The sequence below is a fragment of the Homo sapiens genome, chromosome 2 (assembly GCF_000001405.40).
Source record: "Homo sapiens chromosome 2, GRCh38.p14 Primary Assembly".
Lineage (NCBI taxonomy): Eukaryota > Metazoa > Chordata > Mammalia > Primates > Hominidae > Homo > Homo sapiens.
Window position 1 is genome coordinate 42,660,078 of NC_000002.12, and position 20,999 is coordinate 42,681,076.

The 20,999-nt window shown below is 40.0% G+C and overlaps 1 protein-coding gene across 6 annotated transcripts in view, besides 3 other annotated features; it reads left to right on the forward strand.

Annotated features, from left to right (window-relative positions):
- The window catches only part of MTA3 (metastasis associated 1 family member 3), a 262,837-nt gene that overhangs the window by 165,968 nt on the left and 75,870 nt on the right, over window positions 1-20,999 (forward strand). The window lies entirely within an intron of this gene.
- Window positions 3,503-3,552: an enhancer, noted in NCBI's record as "active region_15651". NCBI's record gives its function as "activates an Ori minimal core promoter by ATAC-STARR-seq in GM12878 lymphoblastoid cells {active_cell/tissue: GM12878}" and the evidence as "EXISTENCE:reporter gene assay evidence [ECO:0000049][PMID:35858748]".
- Window positions 13,972-14,266: a silencer, noted in NCBI's record as "tiled region #10188; K562 Repressive non-DNase unmatched - State 23:Low". NCBI's record gives its function as "represses a minimal TATA promoter and a strong SV40 promoter by Sharpr-MPRA in K562 cells {active_cell/tissue: K562}" and the evidence as "EXISTENCE:reporter gene assay evidence [ECO:0000049][PMID:27701403]".
- Window positions 13,972-14,266: an enhancer, noted in NCBI's record as "tiled region #10188; HepG2 Activating DNase matched - State 5:Enh". NCBI's record gives its function as "activates a minimal TATA promoter and a strong SV40 promoter by Sharpr-MPRA in HepG2 cells {active_cell/tissue: HepG2}" and the evidence as "EXISTENCE:reporter gene assay evidence [ECO:0000049][PMID:27701403]".

A 20,999-nucleotide genomic window follows, 5' to 3' on the forward strand; every position in this document is an offset into this window, starting at 1 on the left:
TTTTTTTTTTTTTCTTTCTTTTTATATTTGGAGATGGAGTCTTGCTCTGTCACCAGGCTGGAGTGCAGTGGCATGATCTCAGCTCACTGCAACCTCCGCCTCCTGGGTTCAAGTGATTCTCGTGCCTCAGCCTCCTGAGTAGTTGGGATTACAGGCACGTGCCACCACACCCAGCTAATTTTTGTATTTTTGGTAGAGACGGGGTTTCACCATGTTGGCCAGGTTGGTCTCAAACTTCTGACCTTGTGATCCACCCGCCTCGGCCTTCCGAAGTGCTGGGATTACAGGCATGAGCCACCACACCCGGCCAGAGGGGCTATTTTCTATATAATTTTATTACATTATAGTTGATATCTTTTAAATCTATTTACTTTTTTCTTTCGGTGATCAAATGAAGCTTCCTATATTCAGTTTAATTTTACCACTAATGGCTGCCGTGGTCAGGCATAGGACCTGGCACTTACTGCTTTCTCTGCACTCCAGAAAAGTGGACCTGTGAGTTTTTTGCTGATTGAAGTTACTTACTGTATTTGATTCCTGTTACCCCTTGTGATAGGCACGGTAGGATGCTCATTTTACACACGAGAAAACTGAGTTTGGTGAGGTTATTTGACCAGTATTCATTACATGTAACAAAAGTTTCAATATTGTTTTCTAATGAAATGGAATACAATATGGGTTTTTAACTTTCTTATCATAATGCCAATTTGACATGCTTTTCATAAAATATTTATTTTGATAATGTAAGAACTCATAGAGGAATACACATCAGATAATAAAAATAAAGACAGGGTCTTACTATGTGATTGCCCAGGCTGGTCTTGAACTCCTCCTGGCTTTAAAGCAGTCCTCTTGCCTTGACTTCCCAAAGTGCTGGGATTACTGTTGTGAGCCACTGCTCCCAGCCTTGTTTCTTATGCATTTTGTGTACTTCTGTACAATTATAGATTGTGACTAAAGCTGTGGAACTCCTTGCCTTTTCCTTTCTCAAAGACTAGAATTGTTCATAGAAGAAAGTTTTGTTTTCTCCATTGGGACATTAATATTTTACCCCAAATTTTAGGATCTCCAAAATGGGTTTGTATTTCAGTTGTTTAGAGCTTCGAGAATATTTTATCAGAGAAGCAAGAGTACAGATGTCATGTTTGCAAGAACTTTAAAAATCAGATATTTCACTTTGGGGGGCTGAGGCCAGTGGATTGCTTGAGCTCAGGAGTTTGATACCAAGGTGGGCAACATAGTGAAACCCCTGTCTCTACAAAAAAATACAAAAATTAGCTGGGTGTGGTGGCATGCGCCTGTCTTCCCAGATACTTGGGAGGCTGAGATGGGGAGATTGCTTGAGCCTGGGAGGAGAGGTTGCAGTGAGCTGAGATCATGCTCATGCCACTTGCCCTCTAGCCTGGGTAACAGAGTGAGACCCTGTCTCAAAAAAAAAAAAAAAAAAAAAAGAAAAAGATATTTATGTGAACCAGAACTATGTGGAATCTAATAACTACCTGTATATATTTTTCCTGGTCAAAGTGATTTTTGCTCAATTTAAAAATTAATGTATATCTGTTATGAAAAATTAAAAAATAGTACAGCAGCAGCCAAAAAAAGCTTTGTTCTCATTACCCAGAGTAGAATGTTCTTACTGTTTTGTTTTCTTTAAGCCCTTTTTTATGCATTATACATAATAATAGCAAATTACAGAATAGTATAGAGGATAATGTAATAAAACTCCATATAAGGGCACCTAAAGCAAATGTTAATATTTTAGTTCTTCAGGTTAAAAAACTTTTTTTTCAACCATTATAGTTAATGTTGAAGTCTCTAATATTCCCTTCTGAGTCCTACTTCCCTTTACCTCTGCCTCCTTTCAAGAGCCAGCCACTGTAACAGATCTGCTATGTATGTAGTCTGTGTTTTTATAGTTGTATTATTTATTATTCCAAAACAACATAAATATTCTTTTGCATATGCTTAAATTTATTGTGTAACACTTGCCATTTGCCCATTATTGAGATCTAGCCGTGTTAATAAATATAAACACAGTTCATTCATTTTAACTGCTTTCTATTATTTCCAATATTCTTGTATATAATACTACACAACATTATTTATGTATTCTGTTACCAGGGAACATCTGGAGTGCTTTCAAAACGTTTTTCTTTTGCTGTGTTACTCATAATGCTATGTTGAAAATTTCACACATATCCCTTTGTGAGCATGTGTGTGAGTTTTTAGGCTATAACTAGAGTTATATTTATATATATAAATTTATATATTTCTTGTGTCTTGTTTTTTCTAATGGTTTTAAAGTTTTCTTCATATTTAGGACTGTAAATCTATATAGAGTTTAATTTTGTGAATAGAGTGAGGTAGGGATCTAATTTTTCTCATATATTAAATTAATTGTCCCAGTACCATTTATTGAATTTGTTTCTTCATGATTTGTAATGCCCCTTTATCATATTTTAGGTTCCTAGATATACTTAGGCCTGTTTATAGACTTTTAATCTATTCTCTTTTGTTTTGTAGATCTATTTTTCCCTGTGCAAGCACCACATTTTAGTACATTTTGATAACTAAGTCTTATGTGAACTTTCTTTTTAACTGTTTTAAATGACCTCCACCGCCCCTATGTTTTCCCTAACTATATTATATAAATACTTTTTTTTTTTTTTTTTGAGACAGAGTCTCGCCCTGTCGCCCAGGCTGGAGTGCAGTGGTGCGATCTCGGCTCACTGCAATCTCCGCTTCCCGGGTTCAAGTGATTCTTCTGCCTCAGCCTCCCGAGTAGCTGGGATTACAGGCGCACGTCACCACACCTAGCTAATTTTTGTATTTTTAGTAGAGACGGGTTTCACCGTGTTGGTCAGGCTGGTCTCGAATTCCTGACCTCGTGATCTGCCCACTTCGGCCTCCCAGAGTTGCTGGGATTACAGGTGTGAGCCACTGTGCCTGGCCGGATAAAAATACCTTTTTAAAAATCACTGCAAGAACTTAGTTTTACCCTAATGTTGCATGATCTTATATAGGTAAACTATTATTTATGTAACCAGTCCCTTGTAGTTTAACACTATTCTTATGAGATACTGCTTCTCAGATTATAACTGGGGATGTGGTCCCTGCTTGAGTGCAAGTGGAAAAGCTTGTTCCTGAGATGGTGGAGAGTTCTCGTGGCAGCTGGGCTGACTTGCCTGAGGTAGAGAGGGCCTGTGTGGGCTCTTGGTTCACAGCTGCAGCAGCTCACTGCTTCCCACTGCTGGTGAATGTGCAGGACAGCAGGTGAATTTCTTTTGGGAGAGGGCAGTTTTAGAGGTTTGGTATTTGTTGTCAGTGAAGGTGATATTTTAAAGAAGCATTTTAAAGAGGATTCTACCTATATACCTTAATTCCTTTAAACATCATTTTATGGCCAAGTACACTGGCTTATGCCTGTAGTCTCAAAACTTTGGGAGGCTGAGGCAGGATGATCACTTGAGGCCAGGAGTCTGAGACAGGCCTAGGCAACATAACAAGACTCTGTCTCTACAAAACAAAACAAAACAAATTAGCCAGGCATGGTGGTGAGTGCTTGTAGTTCCAACTATTCGTGAGGCTGAGGTGGAGGGATCCCTTGAGCCAAGAAGTTCGAGGCTGCAGTGAGCTATGATCATCCCAATGTAGGCAACAGAGTAAGACTCTGTTTCATAAATAATCATTTTCTGTGTAGTTTCTGTAATACTTGCCTCTTATGCTCCTTCTAGGAAGTTACCTTCACACCCTTCAGTGTTTTTTATCTCTCCTGTTTTGTTTCCATTCTGAAGCTTAGTAATTTTGAGGTCCGATTACTTTTGTATCACATATATTCTTTCTAGTTATTTATTACCGTAATTATTTTCTAAAGCAGAAGTAGGCTCAGAGGCTCAGGAAGTGGTGTTTTGTCATGTTTGTATAGCTGGTTTCAGAGATAGGGTTTGGATCTGCACTTGATTCCTCCTGAGTAGTTATCTCTCCTCTGTCAGATTACCTCTTCTATCTACCCTTCCACCTCATTTTTGTTAGAATGACTTGGATTTAAGCGTCATTATTGTCTTTCTTTGAGGCAGCACTGAAGAAGATGTGTTTTTTTGCTTGCAACATTTAAATACCATGGTTTCCTTCTCATACTGCTTTAGGTTCAGCTTTACTTAGACTCTTAGATCCTGAGGCATTTATAAAATTGAGTAGTATGGTTAAAAATTAATTATTAGTATGTTGATAATGAGCTTTGCAGATTGTTTCCCAAAAAGAACATATGAAAGGTTCATTGGTTGTTTTGTACCATTAAATGAAAATGGATTCATCATTCAGTTGAATTTGGGGAGTCACATTCTTTTCTTTGAGTATTTATGGTCCTACTACCCCCTCACCCCGCTTACCTTTTTTTTTTTTTTTTTTTTTTTTTTTTGAGACAGTTTGCTCTGTTGCCCAGGCTGGAGTGCAGTGGCGTGATCTTGGCTCACTGCAACCTCTGCTTCCTGGGTTCAAGTGTTTCTCCTGCTTCAGTCTCCTGCCTCAGCCAGTAGCTGAGATTACAGGCGTCCGCCACCACTGCCGACTAATTACGGTCCTATTCTGATCGCTTTAGCACCTTTTTCTATTAGGTGATCAAACCTTGGATCTGAAGACCTCTTTGAGAGGCCTGCAGAGAGGGCAGGGTTGTGGAACTGCTGAAACCTGATAGCCCTTCCTAAGTGATTTTCTTTGTGACTTTTATTCTGAGGACTTCAATGGGCTGTCAGCATTCCTAATCTGACATCGATTTATCCGAGACAATTTATGCTACTTGTCAAATCACCAATAATGTATTGGGAGCAGGTAATTAAACTGTTTGCACATCAGTAGTTCTCACATCCTCATTTTGAAATCTGTTATGAATATAGTTGAGCTGTGAATTTCAAACACTGCTAATCTAAAATATATAAGATTCATAATTGTTAAAAAACATTGAAGCCATGGGGGCTTTATAGGTTTCACTCGTTTTGTTAAAATATAAGATCTGTTTTATACAATATACAAAGAAGAATATAGGGCTGGGCAGTGTGGCTCACGCCTGTAATCCTAGCACTTTGGGAGGCCAAGGCAGGTGGGTCAAAGGAGTTCGAGACCAGCCTGGGCAACATAGTGAAACCCCATCTCTACTAAAAATACAAAAGTTAGCTGGATGTGGTGGCACGTGCCTGTAGTCCCAGCTACTCGGGAGGCTGAGGCAGGAGAATCGCTTGAATCAGGGAGGTGGAGGTTGCAGTGATCCGAGATTGTGCCACTGCACTTCAGCCTGGGTGACAGAGCAAGTTTCCTCTCAAAAAAAAGAAAGAAAGAAAAAGTAGGTTTACAGTACTTACATTGATCCTTTCTACCATTACCCCCATGGGAACAAAATTCCTTAGAACCAAGGAAATCCTGCATTAGTTAGTAAGTGGCAGTGAGTTAGTTGATGGAAGTTACAGCTTCTGACTCCCTGTTTGGTGGTGTTGGCCAGAGCAAGGTCTGCACTCCCCTGGCTTGAAGAACAGAATGTCATGAGCATTGTGAGGGAGCTGGATCGAAGCCTTAGACCTGCCAAAGTGAAGGTACTGGCTTACACTTTTGCCTGGACTTTGAAGACTAAATAATTTGGGGAGGAGGGGTAAGAATAAAAGAGAAAGAAGTTTTTGAGTTAGTTTGGAGCCTGATGCGCCTTCTAGAGAAGACTGTTTTACAGGTGATGAGCCGAAGGGACAAAACAATACATTGTATAAGGACTGACATTTAATTGGTGACATAATCAGGACTAGAAATTTAGGTTGCCTAATGCCAGGTCTGGTTCTGAGAAAGGCCAAGCTGTGTTGATTTAGGAGGGAGGAAATTGTGTCCTGGAACACCTCTGATTTCTATGTTATATCTGATCTTTTAAAAGTGTAACTGTTGGCCAGGTGCCGTGGCTCACGCCTGTAATCCCAGCACTTTGGGAGGCTGAGGTGGGTGGATCACGAGATCAGGAGATTGAGACCATCCTGGCTAACACGGTGAAACCCCGTCTCTACTAAAAATACAAAAAATTAGCTGGGTGTGGTGGCACGCACCTGTAGTCCCAGCTACTCGGGAGGCTGAGGCAGGAGAATCACTTGAACCCGGGAGGCGGAGGTTGCAGTGAGCCGAGATCGTGCCACTGCACTCCAGCCTGGGTGACAGAGCGAGACTCCATCTGAAAAAAACAAAACAAAACAAAGCGTAACTGTTATTTTATTTTGCTACCTCCTACCTTATATCCTTTTAGTGGCTTTTAATTGCATGTAGGGTTAAAACTTAGATCATTACTGGTACTGTAGTCAACAAAACTATTGAGTTTTGCCTGGCCTCTGTCTATAGCCCCTTTGCCCAAACAGTCCTCCGTCCTCTGGACTCCAGCCAGGCTGTACCCTTCCTTTGGTTTTGTGTCTTGCCACAGGACTTGCATGTTCAGGTCCCTTTCCCTGATGCTCTCATAGCCCCACATAGTTAACTCTGTTTAAAACCACATCTTGGCTAATCCATCACTTTAGGGCAGGTTGCTTTGTGATGTGCTTATGTAGAGAGCCAGGTCTATAATTAAAAACTCATTTTTGTGATTATTTTGTGTCTCTTTCTCTCCTTCCCATTCCCTGCATACCAGCTTGTTATATCCCTTAGTGTAGTTACTGCATCTGTTTTTCCTCACCATTGAATTCCCAGCACCAAGCATAGTGCCTGGCATATATATATAGGTGTTCACTAAATATTTGAGAATGAGTAAATTAGCTTCTTTCTCTGGGACATAGGTTCTTATTGAAATAGGTCATTGCAATATATTGTTTTCTGTTCCTTTGTTTAAGCATTTTAATGTTTTATAGAGAGCGTCTCATCACTAAGAGTGATGTGTATATGTGTATTTGAATTCTAATTTTATTATATCCCCAGAGCTGTACACACACAGTCTGAACACTATGAACTGTAGGAAGTTTTAAGCATACCATGCATGCTGCCACATACCCCTCATCCTTTTTAAGAGATGGGGTCATGCTGTGTTGCCCAGGCCAGATTTGAACTTCTGGGATCAAGCAATCCTCTTGCATCAGCCTCCCGAGGAGTAGCTAGGATTATAGGTGTATGCCAGCATGCCCAGCTGTGATGCACTTAAATTTTGTGTTATATATATTTTATTATAATTTCAAAACTCCTTTTCACCATTTTTAAATGTATTAAGTAGATTCACTCTGGCATTACATACATTCACATTGTTGGTAACTATTACCACCATCCATCTCTGGAACATTTTCATTTTCCCAAACAGAAACCTCATCCCCATTAAACTCTAACTCTCCATCCCCTCTGCCCTCTAGCCACTACCCTTCTACTTTTGTCTCTATGAATTTGACGGCTCTCAGTATCTCATAAGTTTTTCGTTACTGGCTTATTTTCACTTAGCATGTTTTCAAGGTTCATTAATGTTGTACCATGTGTCAGAATTTCCATCATTTAAAAATTGTGTGTGTGTGTGTGTGTGTGTGTGTGTGTGTGTGTGTATAGAGAGAGAAAGAGAGAGAGAGAGAGAGAGAGAGAGAGAGAGAGAGTCAGTCTTGCTCTGTCCCTCAGCCTGGAATGCAGTGGCGTGATCATAGCTCACTGCAGCCTCAAACTCCTGGGCTCAAGTGATCCTCCTACTTGAGCCTACCAAGTATTAATAGCTAGAACTACAGTCATGTGCTACCACTCCCAGCTATTAATGCTAAGTAATAATACATTGTGTGTATATACCACATTATGTTACTTTATCAGTGGCCACTTGAGTTGCCTCTATCTTTTGACTGTTGTGAATAACCCTGCTATGAACAAAGGTGTACAAATGGAGACATTTTTATGATTCTTTCTTTTCCCCCATCAATCTGTAGCTCATGTATGATCCGTGTAGCCCGGCGCAAGTTACTTAACCTACCTTTGTCTGAGTTTCCTCATCAGCAGTGGTAGTAATAATAAAACCTACTTGCTCTGCTTCAGGAAGGTTATGGATGGGCAGGAAGAGGGAGTGCAGCCACACTATGAGTTGCTGATACGTGTAACCAAGGATTCAGAACTCAGTGGAACTGCAGTGGCTCCTCAAAGTAGAGGCAGTTGGGGGCTCCTTTTCTGGGGGCCTTGGATTCTGTGGAGGGCTTAGAGCTGTTTGCAACATTAGCTGCTCAGGTTGGCTGGAAGACAACTGACTGATTTATTCAGCAGTTTATGTACCTTCATTTTAGGTAATGTTTGCAAACATTGGGCCCTTCTGGCTCTTAAGGCCCCATAGAGGCCCTGTCCTTACTGGGAGAGAGCAGGCAATGCCTCAGGGTCCTGAACAAGACCCCTGCGACCTTCCAGCCTCGGAAAAAGGCTGCCGCTGAGTTCCCACATGACATCAACTTGAGGATGAATTGAGATAATTACTTGTAAAGTGTTCAGAGCAGTATCTGGCACAGTGTCAGAGCTCAATAAATATTAGTTGTTATTGTTGAGAAGACGACAATGGTGCATTTGTCTTTTTCACCCATAATCTTTGTTGAGCCTCATTTACTTCTGATTTTATAGCCTTATTGATTGTCTGATAGGTATTTTGTCATGCCGTGTTTATTATTTTAGTAGATTATCAAGTTTAAATATGGTCATTAGGCTATGATTAACCATACCATTTAATATAATTGTTACAAGAAGTCACTGTAAGAGTTAAAAGTGGTGAACAAAGGCTGTTAATATAATCTTTCATATAATCTTCCTCTTAAAACAAGCTATAATTTTTTCAAAAAAAAATTTCCCATCAAGAATAACTTAGAAAAGACAATTTATTTTTTGGATGAGGGAAAGTTGACCTAACAGTATTATTATTCTTCAGATACTAACGCTTTATAAAAATGCTAGCCATCAATCACGTACTTCATTCTGTTTGTTTGTGAGTCTTGTTTCATTTAGGGCCTTGTGGGTACTGGGAATTGAGGATAGTTTAGAAGGCACAACAGAAAATACAGATTTTTTTTTTTTTTTTTTTGGGAGGTAGTCTCGCTCTGTCACCCAGGCTGGAGTGCAGTGGTTAGTTCTTGGCTCACTGCAACCTCCACCTTCTGGGTTCAAGCGATTCTCCTGCCTCAGCCTCCTGAATATCTGGAATTACAAGCACCCCTGCCCCCCTGGCTAATTTTTGTGTTTTTAGCAGAGATGGGCTTTTCACCATGTTTGCCAGGCTGGTCTCAAACTCCTGACCTCAAAGTGATCTGCCCACCTTAGCCTCCCAAAGTGCTGGGATTACAAGCGTGAGCCACTGCGCCTGGCCAGAAAATATTAATCTTTTGATTAGCATTTTAGATATCAACTTATGTCAGAAATCTAGACTTCAAAATGGACATAAAATTGATGGGGATTCGTATAACTTAAAAACCCATGAAAAACTTATCACGGGTACTGTTCATGTTTCCAAGGCTATAAAATTAGAATTAGTACTAATGGACTAGCACTGCAGTAAAAAATAGGAAACACGAAATTTTTCTTCCTGCTAAATACATCATTAAAGCAATAATATTCTACATTACACACACGTCTTTTTGTTGATGATCTATTACAGATGAGTGTGGAGACGCTGCAGACTATCCTAGGAGAATTGTTTGTGTGTTTTATGGTCTATTAATCCATCTTTTCCTTTTAAATTTAAGCTTTAATGAGATTTTTTCTTTTTTGGGGTAAATACAGCCTTTTACTTTTTCTCCTACAAATTTCACATGAATATAGAAACATCAGAAAGGCACTGTAGATTTGAACTTGGGAGAAATAGAAAGAGAATTGTTTTAGCAACTTTGTCTAGGATAATTGGTGGAAAGATTTGTATTTACAAGTATGAGTTAGTGGAAGGCTTGTGGTTATAATTTCTTAAAACTAGCTGGGCATGGTGGCTCATGCCTGTAATCCAGGCGTGAGGCCAAGGCAGGTAGATCATCTGAGGTCAGGAGTTCGAGACCAGCCTGACCAACATGGTGAAACCCCATCTCTACTAAATACAAAGAATTAGCTGGGCGTGGTGGCACATGCCTGTAATCCCAGCGACTTGGGAGGCTGAGGCAGAAGAATCGCTTGAACCCAGGAGGTGCAGGTTGCAGTGAGCTGAGATTGCGCCATTGCACGCCAGCCTGGGCAACAAGAGCTTAACTCCGTGTCAAAAAAAAAAAAAAAATCTTAAAACTTTGTATTTTGTGGTAATACAAAAATAGTGCAAAGACTTCCTGTATTCACTTCATCCAGATTCCCCAGTTGTTACCATCTTTACCACATTTGCTTTATTATTATTATTGTCAAATGACACAAATTAGAGAATTTAGTTTAAGCATCTAATTGGCTTTCATTTATTCTATCTATAAAGTAGAATAAGCATTCTGATGAGCTGAGCAGAGGTGATTGGCTTTATAGACAGGAAAGGGCTGAAGAAAAGCAGAAACAGGGAACAAGAAGCAGATTGGTTGTTTCAAAGTTGCTTTCCTTAAAATAGAGAGGACTTCCTTATGCCTACTCAGGTAAACTGGCCCCTTCTGATTGGTTGCTGTGAATCTTGGCACTAAGCACAAGTGACTGCTTTCTAGTCTGATCTGCTGGGGCCTAGTGCGAGAGCTCAGTCCAAAATAATGGCCTTCCATAAACTCTAACACTATATATATATATATATATAGTTCTTAACAGTTTGAAAGTAAAATTTCAGAATAAATGTCCCTCTACTGCTAAATATTTGAAAGAGTATTTCCTAAAAATAAAAACCAAGGATATTCTCATATATTAGTTCAGTATAATAATCGGACTCAGGAAATTAACCTTGTTACAGTACTGTTGTCTAATCTAGAGACTTTATTCAGATTTGTTAGTTGTCCCAGTAATGTTCTTTATGGCAAAAGAAAAAAAAAATTCTGGCCCAAGATTTCCTTGTGAATCACTTGTGACATTTAGTTGTTGTATCTTCATAGTCTCTTTCATTCCTGAACGATTCGTTAGTCTTTCTTTGTGTTTTATGACCATGGTATTTTGAAGAGTGCAGGCCACTTATTTTGTAGAATGTCCTTCAGTGTGGGTTATGGTTATAATCTGATTTATAATTAGAATAAATTTTTGTTCTACTTAAGTCCATTTTGGTCAGTTATGTCCATCTAGGAGATTATATATTTCCCCCTAAAATTTTCAAATTTAACATTTTTACAGTATTTTTAAACAGTTTGCCGTATTTGTAGTTACAAATAGATTTTCATTCTTGTTATTGTTTATATGTATCACATAACCTTTTTTTCTTGATTGTTTTGCCTGAGGTTTCTTTATTAGTTATCTAAAAGAATGGGAACTTAATTTTGGTAATTAAAAAAAAGTGGTACATATTCTGTTTATTTTTACTCTTATTTTCTTCTGCTTTTCTTTAGGTTTACTCTAATATTCTTTTGCTAGCCTTTTTAAGACCTTTTTAAAATTACTTTTCATGATAAACATACAAGATTGTGAATGTCCCTCTAATTATCACCTTGGCTGTAGCACATATCTTTTAGTATGTAGTATTTTTATTATCATTTGGTTCTAAATATTCACTAATTTGCCTTATAATTTTTAATTTAACTTGTGAGTTAATTTAGAAGGAAGTGTGGCTCATCTACCTATTTTAATTGCCTTTGAGAATGTGGTCAGAGAACATGTGTGCTACCAATTGTTTCCATGTCTTGAGATTTCTGTTAGGGCCTGGAATAGGATCCTCCCCAGTATTTTGCTCCCTGGGCCTTACTGACTCTGGCAACATCAAGGTCTGATGCTTGTCACATCAGACTAGTAAAAAAGGAAACTTGCTGTTTGGCTCGATTTCACCTTATAGCAGTCTAGAAAATACCCTCATGATAAAGGCCAAGATCAGTGTGGAAACTCAACTATTACACTTTTCAGAGGGATCATCACCTCTCCTTGCCTGTATTGGTTCTCCAGTGTCTTCACACAGTTGTTTTCACATATTTGTCTGGTTTGTGCCAAGAATCACAGCCAGGTGGCAATAACTTTTAATTACGCTCATAGTAAGTTTGGAAATGACATCTGGGGACATGGGGTCACTGTGACCTATTGTCCCCTGTAGCTTTCTTGTGATAATAATAAAAAAGAGCCAGGTATGTTGGTGTACACCTGTAATCACAGGTACATGGGAGGCTGAGGTGGGAAGATCACTTAAAAGCTTGAGACCAGGAGTTTGAGACCAGCCTGAGTCAACATAGTAAGTCCTCCTCTCTATTAAAAAAAAAAAAAAATAGGCCAGGTGCAGTGGCTCACGCCTGTAATCCTAGCACTCTGGGAGGCCGAGGCGGGTGGATCACTTGAGGCTAGGAGTTCAAAACCAGCCTGGCTAACATGGTGAAACCCTATCTCTACTAAAAATACAAAAAAATTAGCTGAGTGTAGTGGTGGGCGCCTGTAATCCCAGCTACTTGGGAGGCTGAGGCACGAGAATCTCTTGAGCCTGGGAGGTGGAGATTGCGGTGAGCCGAGATCGTGCCACTGAACTCTAGCCCGGGTCACAGAGCAAGATTCCATCTCCAAAAAAAAAAAAAAAAAAAAAAAAAAAAAGTAATCAAAAGGTGTGAGTACACACAAGAACATGACTCAGGGTGTCTTTTAGGTTGATTTGAGTGGATGCCAGCTAAGCCTTAGCAAGTTTGTTGGATGAGGGGTTTTGTTATATCTATGCATTAAAGCAAAAATTGAAAGTAGATGGCAAACTTTTTTACGTATAAAAAGCTTTTTTTTTTTTTTTTTTGAGACGGAGTCTGCCTCTGTCACCCAGGCTGGAGTGCAATGGTGCAATCTCAGCTCACTGCTACCTCTGCCTCCTGGGTTCACGCGATTCTCCTGCCTCAGCCTCCCAAGTGGCTGGGATTACAGGTGCGCGCCATCATGTCCAGCTAATTTTTGTATTTTTAGTAGAGATGGTGTTTTGCCATGTTGACCAGGCTGGGCTTGAACTCCTGACCTCAAGTGATCCACCCCCGCCCCCCTCTGACCTCCCAAAGTGCTGGGATTACAGGTGTGAGCCACCACACCAGACCAGCATATGAAAAACTTTGTCCATATCAGTTTGAGGTTTACTCATGAGAGTTTATTATAATCTTCCTCTGCTTGGAAAAAAAGAATGTGGTTATTAATTTTTAAATAGATGTGATATTCTGAATGCTGTAATTCCTGTAGGAGGTATATATGTGAAGTTTTTGTGAAATTGTAACTGAACAAATCAGTACAGATGGCCCTCGACTTAGGATGTTCAACTTAACAATTTTTGCTTTGTTTTGTTTTTTACAATGGGTTTATCAGGGTATTAAATGCACTTTTGACTTATGATATTTTCAACCTATGATGAGTTTTTTGGGACGTAGCCATCAGTTGCAGAGCATTTGCAGTTAGTATTGAATATAGTATATGTGTATCAGTTAGCTGTTGTCATAATACTGCATTTTACAGGTTGGGTTCCCTGGAAGCAGATTCTGATAGCAGTTTTTATGTGGGAAATTTATTAGGGATTCCCCTTGGGATCAGCACTTGTGGAATAAAAGGCAAGGAGGCAGGATTGACTAGTGGGAGGAGGTGGATACAATCGAATGAAGGCCTCAGCTGACTCCAGCTGATTTGTGGCATCCCAAATCAGGGTGAAAAGCTGGGCCTTTACAGCCCTGCATTATTGGATGCAGGTTGCTCCAGGAAGAGTGTGTGGACTTTCACGATGAATTGTTCTTGAATTGAAATAATTCCGAAAAAGATCAGCAGCTGAGGACTGTCTTATTCACAACACTTCTGGCAACTAGGTGAATTAAGTTCTTTAGTCTCAAAGAGGAAAACACATCTATTACACTGCCCAAATTTCAGTGGCTTATAACAACAAGCATTGATTTCTGATACACTCATCTGCAGATTGTCTAGGATTCTGCTGAGCTAGACTGGGCTCTGATGTAGGTGCCAAGCTATAGGTTGGGTCCAGATCTGCTCCATGTATTTCTCATCCTCCATGGACAAAACTCAGTAGCACAAGAGGGCAAGGCCAAATGTGCAAACACTTGTCAAGGCTCAGTTATGTCACATATCCTAACATCCTATTTGCCAAGCAAGTCACATGGCCAAGCCCAACATCAGTGGAGTGGAAGAATACTCTCCTGTGGAGGTGTGGGGGAGGGAATGAATATTTGCTGAACAATAGTCCAATCTACCCATAGTGTGGTTCTGCTTAACAAAAGATGAGAATTCCATTGCCAAGATTTACTTGTCAGTCTTTCTCCTAAAATACTTCTTTTTGTCATCTCCATCTGTTATGAATGAGATGAAATGTGACAACACCTTCACTGCTTTTTGGCAGAGAGAACAGCTTGTGCTGGGTTCTTAAGATTTTTACAATTTAGATTTGAATGGATCGTGCAATGTGTATTGGTATCTCTATTGAAAACATGGTATCTTTGCAAAGTATTTAATCTGGAGGGAAGACTTTTAGTTTAGTTTTCTTCTTCTTTTTTTTTTTTTTTTTTTTTGAGACGGAGTCTCACTCCATCACTAGGCTGGAGTGCAGTGGCCCGATCTCAGCTCACTGCAACTGACACTTCCTGAGTTCAAGGGATTCTCCTGCCTCAGCCTCCCGAGTAGCTGGGACTACAGGCGCGTGCCACCATGCCCGGCTAATTTTTGTGTTTTTAGTAGAGGCGAGGTTTCACCATGTTGGCCAGGATGGTCTTGATCTCTTGACCTCGTGATGATCTGCCCGCCTCGGCCTCCCAAAGTGCTGGGATTAGAGGCGTGAGCTACTGCGCCTGGCCTAGTTTTCTTTCTTTCTTTTTTTTTTAATATAGGCACTCAACACTGTGCCCAGCTAATTAAAATTTTTTAATTAATTAAATTTTAAAATTAAAAAATTAATGCTGAGGCTGGTCTCGAACTCCTGCCTTGGCCTCCCAGGGCCTCTCAAAAGCTCTGGGATTACATGCCTGAGCCAATGTACCTGGCCAACTTTTAGCTTTTTAATGCTTAGTTTCAAAATTCCTTTTCTATTTCTTTTCTTTTTTCTTTTTTTTGAGACGAGGTCTCACTCTGTCACCCAGCTGGAGTGCAATGGTGACGTCTCTGCTCACTGCAACAGCCGCCTCCTGAGTTCAAGCGATTCTCCTACCTTAGCCTCCTGAGCAGCTGGGACTACAGGCGCATGCCACCACACCCAGCTAATTTTTGTATTTTTAGTAGAGATGGGCTTTCACTCTGTTGGCCAGGCTGGTCTTAAACTCCTGACCTCGTGGTCCGCCTGCGTTGGCCTCCTAAAGTGCAGGGATTAACAGGTGTGAGCCACCGCACCCAGCCTCAAAATTCTTTTTCTTATTTTAAATTGAGGTATACATATGGTAACATATATAGAGTGCCCTACAGTTTGTTACACAGCTTAAACATTTTTACCTGTGTATATATTCGTGTAACCACCACTAGATGGTAAAGAACATTACCAGTATCTCAACAGCTTCCCTTCTGCTCCTCTCCAGTTAGGAAATCACTATTCTGCCTTCTCTAACAATCAATTAGTTGTTCATTTTTTCAAACTTCTCTGGCATTTCAAATTTGTGTTATCTTACTGATAAACCGCAAGTCGTTGGTCCTGTGTTATGTTACTGTGTCTTTTCCTAGCTTATTTTCTTTATTTACCCTACATTTTCTCTACTGGATTTTGTCTCTTCTGTTATAGAAACTGTATTCATGTAAAGCTCTTAAGGGTAAGATTAGACTACGTAAAGTCCATTCAAAAGAAACTTCTGTGTGTATCAGAAAGATGGGGTTTATATGGACTTCTGGCACATAATATGATTCTCTGGTTTCCTTTATGAAGTTGGTCAGTTTCAAAGGAATTATTTCCTAGTAACTCCACAGTGTACACACCTGATGAGTGTTTACTTTCTACACATTCTGAGCTTTACTCTCCTCTCCTTTGGTCTTTGGTATAAATGTGCGCTTTGGAGGTTTCATATCTCCTGGTGAACAGTAATTCCAATGTATTCTTTCTCATTTGATTTGAGACAGTACAGGAGCTCCTCCTCTGAAAGCAAATGGTTCCTTCAGTGTTCAGGAACACAAACTAAACACTAAAGAGTAGAACCTTTGAAACAATGAATATAATCATTTTTTGTCATAATCACTTGATGAAGGCTAAGATACTACTTCAGTTCTTTGAAGCCCTTTAGGTAACAGCCCATCATCATTTAAAAAAGTATCCATAAGAAAAGCAGTTTCACTCATTTAACATGAACACAAAACTGAAAATCCATTCATGATTTGAGTGGTTGGTGTAGCATCAGCTGAGAAAAATGCACTTAATTCTGTGACTGGTTTCAGAGCCCCTGTTAATTATAAAAATTTCTTTTGGCTAGATGCAGTGGCTCATGCTTGTAATCCCAGCACTTTGGGAGGCCAAGACAGGCAGATCGCTTGAGCCCAGGAGTTGGAGACCAGCCCGGGCAACATGGCAAAACCCTGTCTCTACTGAAAATACAAAAATTAGCTGGGCATTGTGGCATGCACCTGTAGTCCCAGTTACTTGGGAGGCTGAGGTGGGAGGATCATCTGAGCCCAGGAGGCAGATGTTGCAGTGAGCTGAGATCATGCCACTGCACTCCAACCTGGGCAACAGAGTGAGACCCTGTCTCCAAAGAAAAAGATAAATTATTTTTATTTTGAGGAATTTTAGCATTTTTGAGTATCTTTTAATCTTTTAGTTTTTTCATTTATTGTAAATTTAGAAGGTTTAAAAAATAATTGTTTATGGGATTATTAACTGAAAAGGTCCCTAAATGCTATTGATCTTTCTTTTCATTTTCATGAGGTTAGTTATTAAGAAACAATAATTACAGTAGTCTTTCTTTTCCAAGAGAAGATATATTTCAGCACCCTCAGTGGATGCCTGAAGCTGAGGATGGCACTGAATCAGACTTTTTTTTCTCTACACTATACCTAACATAAGGTTTAATTTATAAATTAGGCACAGTAAGAGATCAACAAGAATAATCATAGAACAATTATAAGAATATACCATTATAAAAGATATGTGACTGTGCTTCATATGGTTTGGCTCTGTGTCCCCACCCAAATCTCATCCTGTAACTCAATAATTCCCACGTGTTGTGGGAGGGACCACCGGGGGAGATAATTGAATCATGGGGGCAGGTCTTTCCTGTGCTGTTCTCGTGATAGTGAATAAGTCTCATGAGATCTGATTTATTTTTTTTTTATTTTTTATTTTTTGAGATGGAGTCTCGCTCTGTCACCCAGGCTGGAGTGCAGTGGCGCAATCTTGGCTCACTGCAACTTCCGCCTCCTGGGTTCAAGTGATTCTCCTGCCTCAGCCTACTGAGTAGCTGGGATTACAGGCATGTGCCACCATGCCTGGCTGATTTTTTGTATTTTAGTAGAGATGGGTTTTCGCCGTGTTGTCCAGGGGTGGTCTCAAACTCCTGAGCTCAGGCAGTCCGCCTGCCTCAGCCTCCCAAAGTACTGAGATTACGGGTATGAGCCACCGTACCTCGTCCTGATGGTTTTAAAAATGGGAGTTCCCTGCACAACCTCTTGCTTTTTGCCTGCTGCCATCTATGTAAGACGTGACTTGCTCCTCCTTGCCTTCCACCATGATTATGAGGCCTCCCCAGCCATGTGGAACTGTAAGTCCAATAAACTTCTTTCTTTTGTAAATTTCCCAGTCTCAGGTTTGTCTTGATCAGCAGTGTGAAAACAGACTAATACAGTGCGCTCCCTCCCTGTCTCTCTCACACACACAAATATCTTACTGTACTATATTCATCTATTTTCAGACCACAGTTGGCTACGGGTAACTGAAACCTTGGAAAGTAAAATCATGAATAATGGGGTACATACTACATTGTATGTACAATGGAGTTGATGTAGAAGTGTGTAAAAGTACATACTACAGCTAAACTACACAGTCTGTCTAGTTAGCTTAGCTGCAGAATTTAGCTGATTCTGAAATTTGCAGAGCAAAAGCTGAAGAACCAAGATCAATTCTTGTGTTTTGTTTTTTTTTTTCAACCTCTGCTGCAGAAGAGTGAGAGGAAATTCACTTCAAAGTTGGAAGTCATTGTTCCATGGTTGTGACACATACAACAGAAGACTACACATGGCCAGTGGCCTTTGTTATGATTATAACTCGGAAATTGTTCATGAAATCCCTACTTCTGTTTTGTGAAAGCCAATGATTTATTTTTATTTTTATTTATTTATTTTTTTTGACAGATCCTCACTCTGCCGCCCAGGCTGGAGTGCAGTGGCGTGATCTCGGCTCACTGCTACTTCCACCTCCTGGGTTCAAGTGATTCTCCTGCCTCAGCCTCTTGAGTAGCTGGGATTACAGGTGACTGCCACCACACCCAGCTAATTTTTGTAGAGACAGAGTTTCACCATATTGGCCAGGCTGGTCTCAAACTCCTGACCTCAAGTGATCCGCCTGCATTGGCCTCCCAAAGTGCTGGGATTACAGGTGTGAACCACCGCACCTGGCCCCAATGATTGATTTTAAGTGAGATGTCAACCCTTGTTAAAGCAGTTATTTACTGTACCTAAACATGTTTACATGTTCTAAATACTGCCGTTACTCGGTGAACAAATTCATAATCTATACCCTTATCATTATCTTAGTTAATGCATCACTGTGTGTGTGTGTATACATACATATACATACATATTAATGCATACTTTTGCTAATAATGTTTTCACTTTAATAGATGTTAGTTGACATTTGAGCTCTCCTACAGTCTCCTACCAGATAGTGAGGGATCACTTAAAAGCTATTTTAAAAAAATACAAATAAGAAATGATCTTTCACATACATTCTCATTTGACCCTCACAAGCCTGTGAGGTAGGCAGCATGGATATTCTTCTCATTTAACAAACAAGGAAAGTGAGTCTCAGAGCAGTTAACTGATCTGGTGCCCCAGGTTCTACAATGAGCAAATACCTTGTATTATTATCAGTCTTTGACCTAAAAATTCAGCACCCAACTTCCCCTCATACTTGCCCTACCTACTTCACAGGAATAATGAAGGTAAAATGAATTCTAGGCTAGAAAAATACTTTGAGAGAAACATCACTGCGATTATACTTAGAAAGTATAATTTTCCATGATATTATGGCTCACTCCCCTTCTCATCCCAACTTGTGCGTGAACCCCAGATTTTATATTGCCTTTGTTCTGTGCTCAACTAAGGCGGGGAATAGTGTGATTCTGTTTAAAGTTATATAAGTTACAATTGGGGTAACCGCTATCATTAAGCAAATTGAAAACCGCACAGAAAGGCCAATGTGCAACTAGGCTTCACTAAAGCACAGAGTGAAGCAAGGAAAGATGATCAGATAGGGCATGATAGCCTAGAAGGAAAACGTGGTGTCAGACTTCTGACTGGCACACACAGTTACCTAAGGCACAGTGGTGGCAAAGAAGAGTTATTTGTTCCACATTATATAAACAAGAACAGAAGATTCATGGGAACCCATGCAGAAGCATCTTGTGTCACACAGATCTCTCCAGCTGCCTACAGGAAATATAAACAACAGTGCCTTCTTCATTTTAAAGAATGGCTGTACTCGTTTTTTAAGCTACACCAAGGATTACCTCCATGCTAAACTTCATTGGCAAAAATACAACCAGCACCATAGTTCCTCATCAGACAAACAGAATATCTTTTAAGGTAATGAATTAGATGGCTGTGTGTTGTTTTTTTTTTTCCCCACTTTGGATTCTTTTCTTTAAGACTCAAAACAATTTACATTGAGTATTTATAGATGATTCTAAGTGTGTTTATAATAAAGTGTGGTAGGTGAATGTAACAGATTAAAAGAATTCTGTAGCATCTATCTAGAAAAGATTATATAATATACAAACTATTCAAGTTATACAAAACCATTTTTTAGTGTCTTTTCCACTGAGAAGAATCCTATCTGGCACACTTCACCTGAGGTCGTTCATATTTATCTTTCATTTCTGTCAATTCTAGGGGAAGCACTTCTATTTCTGGATTTTCTGGGATAGCAACTCCTAAGTGATGCTTTAAAAAAACCAAAGCAGTATTAGGTTTCTCTGGTTCTTTTCTAAGGCTACCAGCACCTTCGTTCAGCACCCCAGAGCCCTAAGCACCTCCAGAATTGCTTGATCTTCGAGTTAGCAGTGTTCTAATGGGCCATAGTGACAGCTGCAGTGGCATAGCTGGCACTGAGACCTTGACTGGTGGCGGGCTTGGAGATGCACGACTTAAGCCAAAAGCTAAATTTTTAAGAGTTCTATTGTTGCGTAGAAGTGAAGCTATCCCCATTTGTGAAATTTTTAATAAGTAGCAGGAGATACTTTGCGTAAAAGGTGCAAGACTTTAAGTTTATGTGTTAGAAAGTCTGGGTGGGGGTGAGAGGTGGGGAGAAAAACAGAACTAGTTCTCACTTGGGCAAGAATTAGATCACTTTGCAGCACCCATGTGCTAATCCGCGACATAGGCAGAGATGATTTTGTTGCTTTTCAGTTTTCCTGTTACACATACACATGTATGTACATGCTATGGATGACTCTCTTTAAATCAAAGGTTTTTCAAACCTCGAAGTTTTGGAACCTAGTTATTCATTGTTCTGATTGGAGGAAAATGCCTTCTTTTTTAAAAAATAGGGCATCACTCTGTTGCCCAGGCTGGGGTGCAGTGGCATGATCTCAGCTCACTGCAGCCTCGACCTCCCTGGGCTGAAGTGATTTTCTCATCTCAGACTCCTGAGTAGCTGGGATTACAGGCAATATGCCACCATGCCTGTTTTTTTGTAGAGACGGGGTTTCACTGTGTTGGCCCAGGCTGGTCTCGAAGTCCTGGGCACCAGCATTCTGCCCACCTTGGCCTTCCAAAGTGTGATTATAGGTGTGAGCCACTGTGTCTGGCCAGAAAATGCTTTTTAAGTAAGCTAGACCTAAGTAACT